The sequence below is a fragment of the Homo sapiens genome, chromosome 9 (assembly GCF_000001405.40).
Source record: "Homo sapiens chromosome 9, GRCh38.p14 Primary Assembly".
Classification (NCBI taxonomy): Eukaryota; Metazoa; Chordata; class Mammalia; order Primates; family Hominidae; genus Homo; species Homo sapiens.
In genome coordinates this window covers 126897072-126909741 of record NC_000009.12, presented here as the reverse complement: position 1 = coordinate 126909741, position 12670 = coordinate 126897072, and positions in this window count along the sequence as shown.

The window sequence follows — 12670 nt, the reverse complement described above, 5'->3', positions numbered from 1 at the left end:
CCTTGTGTGGGCAGGACCTGACTTGCTCCTAGCCAATAGAATGAGCCAAAGGCTTTAGGAGGTATGTGATTGCATTACAGAAAACTGTAACCCATCTTGCTAGGAGACTCTCTTGCTGGCCTTGAAGATCTAAGCCACCATGGTGTGAGCTGCCCTATAGAGAAGACCACGCAGCAAGGAACGGAGGGCAGGCTCCAGCCAACAGCCAGCAGGAAACTGGGGGGGCCTTTGGCCGAGCACGGTGGCTCACACCTGTAATCCCAGCACTTTGGGAGCCCGAGGCGGGCAGATCATGAGGTCAGAAGTTCGAGACCAGCCTGACCAACATGGTGAAACCCCATCTCTACTAAAAATACAAAAATAAGCCGGGCATTGTGGCACACACCTGTAATCCCAGCTACTCAGGAGGCTGAGTTAAGAGAATCACTCGAACTCAGGAGGCAGAGGTTGCAGTGAGCCGAGATTGTGCCACTGCACTCCAGCCTAGGCGACCCAGTGAGACTCCGTCTCAAAAAAAAAGAAAGAAAGAAAGAAAGAAAGAAAGAAAGAAAGAAAGAAAGAAACAATGAATCTGGGGCCCTCAGCCCAGCAGCCTGAAAGGAACAGAATGCTGCCAATAATCACATGAGCTCAGAAGCAGATCCTTCAACTGTTGAGCCTCAGATGTGACTGCAGCCACAGCCAACACCTTGATTATAGCCTGTGAGACTCTGAAGAAGAGGGCCTAGCAAAGCTGTCCCTAACCTATAGAAACATTGAGATAATAAATGTGTGTTATTTTAAGCTGCCACATTTGGGATAAAATTGTTACACAGCAAAAGATAACTAATACAGGCCATAACCCACTCTTTTCTGTTGCCTAAGAGGTAGCTCCTGCTCAGAGGCCATCAACACCCAGGTGTTATAAGGATTCTGGAATAAAGTATCCTCCAGATCCTGGTGGCTGGTATCTCTGGGGGCATCAGAAGACAGAAAATAGGGCGCAGGAAAGAGCACTGTCATTAGGGACACAGGTGCTTTTCCTGTGCACACAGGTACAATGGTGAGGTGCCACCAAGGGGCGTCAGGGAAAGCAGGCATCACTATGGGAAGCAGGAAGGAGGTGGAAGAATAGGGACTGAGAGTGAAATTTTGAATTTGGTCAGTTCTAGGAAACGATCTTGGCTTTTCCATTCCCATCTATGTGGCCTTGGACAAGTGTCCAAAGCTCTTTATGCCTCGGTTTTCTCATTTCTGAGAAGATAATATCCAGAGTACCTATCTTACAGGGTGCTCCTGAGGAAAAGTGAGTTAATCCTATAGTGACCATGAGTATGCACCTGGCAGACTTCCAACTATAGGGAGGTTATTTGACCAAGGGCTCAGCTTCTGCACTCTGAAATCCATCAAAGCATTGGCACCAAAGCCATGTTACCCATGGGCTGCACCCAATGACTGACCATGGCAGGAATACTAAGGCAGGCCTGGCCCCGGGTGACAATGGGAGTCCTCTGGTGATAGATAATCTTTGGCTCAAAGACAGCCCGACAGCCTTGCTGACGCTTTGTTGGACTGTGTGGCAGTATGGGATGCTTCCACACACTCCCTTCCCTCTCTCCTTTACTTGAGGTCAGACTTGATTCACAGTCTGCTGGCTCTCTCAACCCATTTCCCCCTGATAAAATCCTTGCACGTTTTTTTGTTTTTTTGAGACAGAGTCTCACTCTGTCTCCCCGACTAGAGTGCAGTGGTGCGATCTCAGCTCACTCAACCTCCGCCTCCCGGGTTCAAGCGATTCTCCTGCCTCTGCCTCCTGAGTAGCTGGGACTACAGGCGTGCACTGCCACGCCCGGCTAATTTTTGTATTTTTAGTAAAGACGGGGTTTCCCCATATTGGCCAGGCTGGTCTCGAACTCCTGACCTCGTGATCTGCCCGCCTTGGCTTCCCAAAGTGCTGGAATTACAGGCGTGAGCCACCACACTCAGCCAATCCTTGCATGTTTAATTCTGTTATGGCACCTGCTCCTTAGTGAACCTGGACAGACGCAAGAAGCCCCAGGAATAGGCAGTGAAAATAGGTGGTGAGATGTGGATTTGGGATGATTCACCCACTGCTCAATAGGCAAAGAGAATACCCTCCTGCTGGAGCACAGATAGTCCCTGGAACAAGGTGGTGGCTCACATGCTAAAGATTTCACTGACAGCAACCTGGGAAAAGACCCCCATGGAGGAGAATGCTGTGCTGGGCACATATTTTCCAGAGTCTGAAAAATATGGGGAGAACAATGTGGACAAAGACAGAGGAAGTTAGTTGACTGGCTGTGTTGCAGAAGGATAAGCAGAGACTGAGAGCTGTTCAGGGGCAGTTAAGGGCTAAGCATGAGAACCAGAGAGCTTTGATGGTAGCTTATAAAAAGGCTCTTATCACCTGTGGTGGTGAAGGATAGACACAATTGAGTTGCAGGCTGAAGAGCTAAGCTACACTCTAGAGCCCCAGAGATGTTCGAATATTCAGGCAAGGAAGGTCTATTGTGTGAAGGTCAGGATCCCCTGGTGGGGTAAACCAAGGATTCTAAAACATGGGATAAGGACATCTGGATGGGTATCCCTCAGGATGTTGACTCCACGAGATGTACCCCAGGCCTCTCTGGGCTTCCCAAGCTGAGTTAGGACTGGAGCTATTGCTGTGCTGGAAGATGCTACAGAGGCTCTTCTGCCACAGGCAACACATGCCCCCGTGGGTGCTGCCCCCACTTCCACTCCTGGCTGCCAGGCTGGAAGCTAGGATTAAATCCCAAAGTAACCTGGCTTGGGATAGACTGGCCCAAACAAGGGAGAACAGAGATCCCCTCCCTAAATCGCAAAAATTAACCAGTTTGTACTGGCACAAGCCGGGGGAGTACCCCTGGGATTGGATTTGGCGGGTACTTGATCAGGGAAGCTGGAATGTGAGATTGGATAAGCAAGAAATCATTCACTTAGGGACATTTTCTCCGGACAAGGGATTTATTTATTTATTTGAGACAAGAGTCTCGCTCTGTCGCCCAGGCTGGAGTACAGTGCTGCAATCTCGGCTCACCGCAACCTCTGCCTCCTGGGTTCAAGCGATTCTCCTGCCTCAGCCTACCGAGTAGCTGGGACTACAAGGCACACACCTCCACACCCAGCTAAATTTCTTTTTTTTTAAGAGATGGGTTTTCACCATGTTGGCCAGGCTGGTCTCGAACTCCTGACCTCAAGTGATCCACCCACCTCGGCCTCCCAAAGTGCTAGGATTACAGGTATGAGCCACCACGCCCAGCCAGGACAAGGGATTTAATACCCCAGTGAGGAATCCAGCTATTGGGGTGGCTCTCAGAAGCCTGGCAAAAACAATGGCCAATTCTCAGTGAAGTGGAAATTCTCTACCATCTTCCTCTACCCTGGCAGATGGCAGAAGTAGGCATGCTGAAACAGACATACGGTTGATCCTCATTATTCATGGATTCCAGTTCCATATTTGTGAATTAGCCTGCTCACTACAATTTATTTGTATCCCAGAATGAATACTTGCAGCACTTTTGCGGTCATTCATGGACATGCACAGAGCAGTAAAAATTTGAGTCGGTCGATATATACACTCCCGGCTAAGGTCAAACAACACTCTGTCTTCTTGTTTCCTCTTGTACTATAAATAAATATCCTTTCTCCATCTATTTAGTGCTATATGTTTCATATTTTTGTGCTTTTTCTGGGTGATTGCACTGATTAAAGTGGCCCCAGGTATAGCGCTGAAATGCTGTCTGGTGTTCCTGAGCACGAGCCGGCTGTGGCCGGACCTTATTGAGAACATATATGAGTTAGATAACGCTTCATTCAGGCATAAGTTATAGCGCTGTTGGGTGTGAGTTTCGTGCGTGTGTGTGTGTTTTTTTGTTTGCTTGTTTGTTTGAGACTGAGTCTCGCTTTGTAGCCCAGGCTGGAGTGCAGTGATGAGATCTTGGCTCACTGCAGCCTCCACCTCTTGGGTTCCAGTGATTCTCCTGCCTCAGCCTCCCAGGTAGCTGGGATTACAGGGACGCGCCACCACGCCTGGCTAATTTTTGTATTTTTAGTAGAGACAGGGTTTCACCATGTTGGCCAGAGTGGTCACAAACTCCTGACCTCAGGTGATCCACCCGTCTCAGCCTCCCAAAGTGCTAGGATTACAGGCATGAGCCACCACGCCCAGCCGAGTTTAATGTTAACAAATCAACAATGTATATTAACAAGGTATCTCTAAACAGAAACACATAAAGTACAATTATATATTGATTTTTTTTTTTTTGAGACGGAGTTTCGCTCTTGTCGCCCAGGCTGGAGTGCAATGGTGAAATCTGGCTCACTGCAACCTCTGCCTCCCAGGTTCAAGCAATTCTCCTGCCTCAGCCTCCCGAGTAGCTAGGATTACAGGCACGCACTACCACTCCCAGCTAATTTTTGTATTTTTAGCAGAGACGGAGTTTCACCATGTTGGTCAGGCTGGTCTCGAACTCCTGACCTCGTGATCTGCCCGCCTCAGCCTCCCAAAGTGTTGGGATTACAGACATGAGCCACCGCGCCCGGCCACACCATTTCCACTTGATGATGGATTGCTGCTGCCCATGCTCAACCTTACAGCTTGGTGGATCAGATAATACTCAATGCTTGATGAGCAGCTCAGTCACATAGTCACTCACTATTCCCACATTATGTGTTCAATTTCAACAAGGGCTCAGTAGCAAGACATGAAATGTTTCTCAAAAGGAGAAACTTGTCTACAGACAAGGGTATGACTTTGCAGAGGTCTGCATCCTCCTACTGGGGGCTCGGCAGAGGCTCCGTGGAGCACTCCTATTAACCATACACACTTGGAGCATCAAAGAATCTACTTAGTCATAAGGCCCAAGTGGCAGAAAACCTTGCACTGCAGTCTGGATTTCGCCAGACCTTTCTCTTGCTATAGGTCCCACTCAAAATCAGCAGCTCAACAGGTAACTGGGTCAGAGCAGCTGACTCAAATATAATATATGTTGTATCCAAAGTCCAAAAAGTCTCACCAAGCATTGTGTTTCTTTTTAATGATAAGCAGTGTATGGTGAAACATTCTTATTTCATGTTAGAAGGAATATCCCAACATTCTCCCAAACCACTGGATCCTCAGGAACTTCATTGAGGTAGTGGGCTCCTGAATCTTTGGGAGGCTTATTTCCCACTCTTTGGCTCACATGTATCTTTCTAAGACATCTAAACACTTGCTATTTCCTGCCCTGTAATCCAGTTGTAGGGGAACGGCTCCTCCATGGCACTCTGGCAACTTGCACTTATCCACAGAGGCCATGCATTAAAACCTTGAATTGCAGCTGGGCACAGTGGCTCACACCTGTAATCCCAGCACTTTGGGAGGCTGAAGTGGGTGGATCACGAGGTCAGGCGATCGAGACCAGCCTGGACAACATGGAGAAACCTCGTCTCTACTAAACTACAAAAAATGAGCCGGGTGTGGTGGCGCATGCCTGTAGTCCCAGCTACTTGGGAGGCTGAGGCAGGGGAATTGCTTGAACCCAGGAGGCAGAGGTTGCAGTGAGTTGAGATCGCGGCACTGCACTCCAGCCTGGTGATAGAGCAAGACTCTGTCTCAAATAAAAAAAATAAAAAAAAAAAAAAAGCTTGAATGGCAGCTTATCTGAATCTTGGAAGAATGCCTCGAAATCCTCCTGGAACACAAGAAGATGGAAAGCTTGTGAGGACTCACCTTCCTATCTTCCCTAGGAGGTTGTCATGAGACAGTTTCTTATTGCTCCCAGGTTCTGATGAGGTATGAGACTTCCCAGTTCAACCCCTCAGAATAGATAGAGCTACACAATCAGTCCTGCAAACTGCTTAGCAGCAGCCTAGTATCACCTTCTTGGTTGCCAAAGATATTGACTCCCCACGAGCTATTCTTCTTTTTGCTGTCTGAATAATAAACAATGTAAAAGTGGCTCATTGTAACTTTATCAGTTGTCAATCACACCTTGGCCTTGACCTTGCTTTATCCTGTAGGCTTGACACCAGTACACATGATTTATCAATGTAGTCAACCAGTGTGACGTTCTATGGGATATCAAGACAATCAAGATCTCTGTGGACTAGATTATGAAAGAGGGCAAGAGAATTGAGGAAGCCCTGAGGCGAGATGAAAAAGGTATATAGTTGACTATGTTGACTATGTTAGGTGGTCCCTGCAATTTTGCATAAAGAAAAAGGACTTTTTGGCCGGGTGTAGTGGCTCACACCTGTAATCCCAGCACTTTGGGAGGCCGAGGCAAGCGGATCACGAGGTCAGGAGTTTGAGACCAGCCTGACCAACAAGGTGAAACCCTGTCTCTACTAAAAATACAAAAATTAGCCGGGTGTGGTGGCACGCACCTGCAATCCCAGCTACTCAGGAGGCTGAGGCAGGAGAATCGCTTGAACCTGGGAGGTGGAGGTTGCAGTGAGCCGAGATCGTGCCACTGCACTCCAGCCTGGATGACAGAGTGAGACTCTGTCTCAAAGAAAAAAAGAAAAGAAAAGAAAAAGAAAAAGATAAAGAAAAAGGACTTTTTTCTAAATCACTCTCTGCATACCAAGTACCAAGGATTATGCTGATTTGCTCCAATAGATTCCATATCTGGGAGAGTAGCTGCAATTGAAGTAACCATCTTGAGATACTGCAACATAATACAAAATATATATTTGGTCTTCATCCCTGGTTCCTGGCACAGAGCTCCTAAAATCTTTGTAATTTCCTGAGTGATAGAGGTGAGAAGAGCATCTTCTGTTATTCATAATAAGCTCCTTTCAACCATACCTGCGTTTATGCTAATGAGATGACCCTTGGTGGGCCCCTAGATAGCATCGGGGTTGGGGGCTAATTGCCTGAGGAACCAACCTTGTAATTAGAGGGTTGGAACATTCAGCCCTGACCCCCAACCTCCAGACAGGAGAGAAGGGCTGGAGATTGACTTCAATCACCAGTGGCCAATGGTGTAATCAATCATGCCTAAGTAATAAAACCTCCATAAAGTCCCCTAAACTGTGGGCTTCAGAGAGCTTCTAGGTTGAACACATCAAGGTGCTGGGAGGCTGGTGTGCCCAGAGAGAGCAGGCCTTCCTGTGGCAGGACAATTCTCCTTGACAATCACATAAACAGGCCTCCATGACAGTCACACAGACAGGCTGCACAGCACTCCAGTTACACAGGCAAATTTCCACAGAGCTGCCTTAACATTGAGCAAATAATTAAACCTAGGGAAATCAGTGCCCAGACATCAAAGCTAGACATGAAACATATGGTCAGTAGGAGGCTTGCATGGGCTTCTCCCTAACTTGGAGCAAGCCAAAATAATGGAGACAGCCTTCCATTCCTAGTGCCAGGACCTGTCTCAGGTTGACGAAATCTGAGACAAGTCAAGGTAACAGAGGCAGCTGTGTGAATAGATTTATTGGACCGTCTAAGGCAGCTCTCTGGCCCAAGCTGTTAATGAGATAAGACAAAAATAATCACTCCGATACCACAGTAGACAGGCCTTGAAGGTACTGAGGCCCCTTAATTGGACTTAGCAATCATTTTTTTGGCCTCTGACCTAGTTGAAACAAAATTAGTTACCTATAGACTTAGGCAAATGCTATACGGCACATAGGCACATAACCCCAACCTGTATAAGCACTAAGAAAATTGTAACACTTTGAGTTGGTCTGGTGGAATTATCTCCAGCCTTCTCCCTGTATCCGGTTACAGCAATAAGTTCCCTTCTTTCTTAGTTTGTCTACTTCTTGCTATTGTGCCACAAGAAAATGCAGCTGGACCCGGCTTGGTTCCAGGAACATTCCCACATCCCTTACCCCATTCTCCTCCATTTGGCTGTCCCTGAGTTGTATACTTTACATTAAGGCAGTATTAATAAGCAAAGTGCCTTTCTGAGTTCTGTGAGCTATTCTAGGAAATTATCAAACATGAGAAGGGGATCGTGGGAATCTCCAATTGCTAGCTGATTGGTCAGAGGTATGGGAGGCCCAGACTTGTGACAGACATGTGGAGTATGGGCAGTATTGTGGGACTCTACCCTTAACCTGTGGGGTCTGCACTAACTCCAAGTAGTTAGTGTTGGAATAGAATCAAATCACTGGACACCCAGCTGGTGTCTAGAAAGTTGGAGAATTGGTTGTTGGTATGGAAAAACAAAAAACAAAAAACATGCATTTGGTGTCAGAAGTATGAGTAGAAATAGACCACAGTACCTCTAATCCACAGATATTCTCCAAGATCATCCCTTTTGTACAGTTCAAACAGGTAAATTAAATGGGAATGAGACAGGAATTACCACCCCCATGTATTTCAAGTCTTTCATGTCATTCTCTGCAATTCTCTCTGGGGAAATGGTATTACTTTTGGTTAAGTATCCTAGTAAAGAAGGGAAATTCCAAGGGCTTCTACTGGGCTCTACCTACCATTAACAATCTTCACTCCACAGATCAGGGAGTCAACGTGGGGGTTCTGCCAGTCATTGAGTATGTCTATTCCAATCATATATTCAAGAACTGTGGAAATGACCATAGGTGGTCTATGGATCTGCCAGGCCCACAGTGAGACAGACTTTGGCCAAAACCCCATTTTTTTTACCTACTCACCATAAGCCCCTAGTTTGTGACACATGGACCACAGTGGTACTTTGTGTGGCAGAAATTATCATCATCTATTTAGACCCTGTAACAGACTAAATGTTTATGTTCCCCCAAAATTCATATGCTGAAACCTTTTATTTTTTTCGTATTTTTTGTGTGTGTGTATGATGGAGTCTCACTCTGTCACCCAGGCTGGAGTGCAGTGGCGCAATCTCGGCTCACTGCAACCTCTGCTTCCTGGGTTCAAGTGATTCTCCTGCCTTAGCCTCCCGAGTAGCTGGCATTGCAGGTGCCCACCACCATGCCCAGCTAATTTTTGTATTTTTAGTAGAGACAGGGTTTCACCATGTTGGCCAGGCTGGTCTCAAACTCCTAACCTCAAGTGATCCGCCTGTCTCAGCCTCCCAAAGTGCTGAGATTACAGGCATGAGCCACCTCACCTGGCCATTTTTTTTGGTGGCGGGGGTGGGGTGCAGACAGAGTCTCAGTCTGTCACCCTGGAACGCAGAGGTGCAATCTTTGCTCGCTGCAACCTCTGCCTCCAGGGTTCAAGCGATCCTCATGCCTCAGCCTCCCGAGTAGCTGGGATTACAGGTGCATGCCACCACACCCAGCAAATTTTCATACTTTTAGTAGAGACGGGGTTTCTCCATGTTGGCCAGGCTGGACTCAAACTCCTGACCTCAAGTAATTAGCCTGCCTCGACCTCCCAAAGTGCTGGGATTACAGGCATAAGCCATCGTGCCTGGCCTCATATGCTGAATTTTTTTTTTTTTTTTTTTTTTTTGGAGGCAGAGTCTTGCTCTGTCACCCAGGCTAGAGTGCTGGAGTGCAGTGGCATGATCTCCGCTCACTGCAACCTCTGCCTCCCGGGTTCAAGTGATTCTCCTGCCTCAGCCTCCTGAGTAGCTGGGACTATAGGCGCATGCCACCAGGCCCAGCTAACTTTTTTTTTGTATTTTAGCAGAGATGGGGTTTCACCATGTTGCCCAGGCTGGTCTTGAACTCCTGAGCTCAGGCAATCTGCCCGCCTCGGCCTCCCAAAGTGCTAGGATTACAGACGTGAGCCAGTGAGCCCAGCCATATGCTGAAATCTTAACCCCCAAGGTGATGGCGTTTGGAAGGCCTTTGGCAGGGGATTAGGTCATGAGGGCCCTGCCCTCACCAATGGGATTAGTGTCATTATAAAAGAGACCCCCAGAAAGATGCCTTGCCTCTTTCACCACGTAAAGTTACAGTGAGAAGATGGCTGTCCATGAGGAACAGGCCCTCACCCAACACTGAATCTGCCAGCACCTTGATCTTGGACTTCCCAGCCTCCAGAACGGTGAGAAATAAATTTCTGTTGTTTATAAGCCGCCCAGTCTATGGTATTTTGTTATAGCAGCCTGAACAGACCAAGACAGAGCCAGTATCTAGTACTCCTCAAAAGATGCACAGTCACTTTAGTAAATAGTTACAGGTACCTCGGGTGCCAGTATTGCAGAATCCTTTCTCAAGGAAACCTCATCTCCTTTCCACTATGGGGCTCTAGGGCTATGAACTGGCTTAGGTCCAGAACTAGGTGAAAAGTTACAACTTCCCATTATGGGCACTTAAGTTGGCTTTCTTTTTTTTTAGACGGAGTCTTGCTCTGTCGCCAGGCTGGAGTGCAGTGGCGTGATCTCAGCTCACTGCAACCTCCGCCTCCCGGGTTCAAGCGATTCTCCTGCCTCAGCCTCCTGAGCAGCTGGGACTACAGGCTCGTGCCACCATGCCCAGCTAATTTTTGTATTTTTAGTGGAGACGGGGTTTCACCATGTTGGCCAGGATGGTCTTGATCTCTTGTTTATTTTTTTTATTTTTTTGAGACAGAGTCTCACTCTGTCCCCCAGGCTGGAGTGCAGCGGCGCAATCTCGGCTCACTGCAACCTCTGCCCCTCCAGGTTTAAGCGATTCTCTGCCTCAGCCTCTGGAGTAGCTGGGATTACAGGCGCGTGCCACCACACCCAACTGATTTTTTGTATTTTTAGCAGAGACAGGGTTTCACCATCTTGGCCAGGCTGGTCTTGAGCTTCTGACCTCGTGATCCACCCGCCTCGGCCTCCCAAAGTGCTGGGATTACAAGCGTGAGCCACTGCGCCCAGCCAAGCTGGGTTTCTGCAATTAGAAATATTTTCTATTATAATGATGAATCAAATAATATTTCAGTAGGCTGCCTGTTTCATCCCTGGAGATACCGTGATTAATTAACCACCCATGAGATCCCCTATAGTTCATAACCTTCTGATTGCCACTGTGTTCTTGCTGCCCGTGGTGGCCGTCACGCCCGCCTTCTGTCTGGTATTTTTTTTTGAAATGGAGTCTTCTTCTGTCGCCCAGGCTGGAGTGCAGTGGCGCGATCTCAGCTCACTGCAACCTCCAACTCCCAGGTTCAAGTGATTCTACTGCCTCAGCCTCCTGAGTAGCTGGGACTACAGGCGTGCTCCACCACTCCTGGCTAATTGTGTGTGTGTGTGTGTGTGTGTGTGATTTATTTATTTATTTATTTTTGAGACGGAGTCTCGCCCTGTCCCCCAGGCTGGAGTGCAATGGTGCAATCTCGGCTCACTGCAACCTCCACCTCCCAGGTTCAAGCGATTCTCCTGCCTCAGCCTCCTGAGTAGCTGGGATTACAGGCACCGCCACTACGCCTGGCTAATTTTTGTATTTTTAGTAGAGACGGGGTTTCACCATGTTAGGCTGGTCTCGAACTCCTGACCGCAGGTGATCCACTTGCCTCAGCCTCCCAAAGTGCTGGGATTACAGGTGTGAGCCACCACGCCCAGCCTTTTTTTTTTTTTTTTTGTATTTTTAGTAGAGATAGCGTTTTACCATGTTGGCCAGGCTGGTCTTGAACTCCTGACCTCAGGTGATCCGCCCACGTCGACTTCCCAAAGTGCTGGGTTTACAGGTGTGAACCACCACGCCCAGCCTCTGCCTGGTTTTTAAAGGCTGCCTGCCACTTGACTTTTGTCACCATAAGTCCCATCATCCTCAGTGAATCCAAGTTTCAGTCAAGCAACCTGGCAAACTGTGCCACTTCTAGCTACATGAGCTGGCACAATGAATCCAGGCTCTCTGGTCAGAGCACCCATATAAATAAATTCAGCCCTGTCCAGTGTTCCATTCTGTCCTCCTTGGTCTAACTACTGCCAAACACACTCCTTAGGTTTTTGTGATATAAATGGCAAAATTATTTCAATAAATGGCAAGATCATTTTGTAGTATTTACTATCTCCTTCCAGGTCACACTTTGTATTCTGAAGCATGCTGAAATCTGATGCTAGATACAATTGTAGGGGTGATTAAGTGGTAGATGGAGTGGGTCTTGGAGAGAATGGACACCTCCATACAAGGCCACTGTCCCAGGTGAGATGATTGCTGGCCTTCAAGCAAGGAAGGAATTTTCCTCTCAGACATGAGAAGGCAAGCTGTGTCCCTCCCACAGAAGGGAAGGAGGCTCACAGACATTCAGGGGTTTGGGGATTCTCAGATTTACCTGAGTCGGCCTGGATGCCCCTCTCAGGATCTCAGGCTTCCAATCTTTCTAAATCAATGCCCTAAATTTTTCATGAGAAATGTGGCAAGGCTGTGAGTTCAACTAATATTTTAATTCTGCAACCCACAAAGTTTGGGTCTGGTTTTCACTGAGGTTGACCCACACTCAAGAAAGAAGAGATGCACTCAGACCCACCATAAAAGCCCGTGGATTCTCATTTTCTTTCTGTAAGTGCTCTAGTGCAGGCAGAGAAAGCCATTCCTTTCTCAGCCCTTGAAGTTAGTATTCCTGCCTATCAGTAAAAGTGGCAGCCACATTTCATCAAAATCAACTTCAGAGGATCATTTCATGAGTCATGATGCTGCTATATGCTGTGCGTTTCCGACTTGCGCTTTCCCATTGGCAAGTGAGGCAGCAGTGCATTCAAGACCAAGAGAACAACCAAACCAGTCCCAGAGTCCCATCCGGAAGAGACCAGTCAGAGCCTAGGCAAGAGAAAGAAATCAGCCAGGTGTGGCCGGGCAC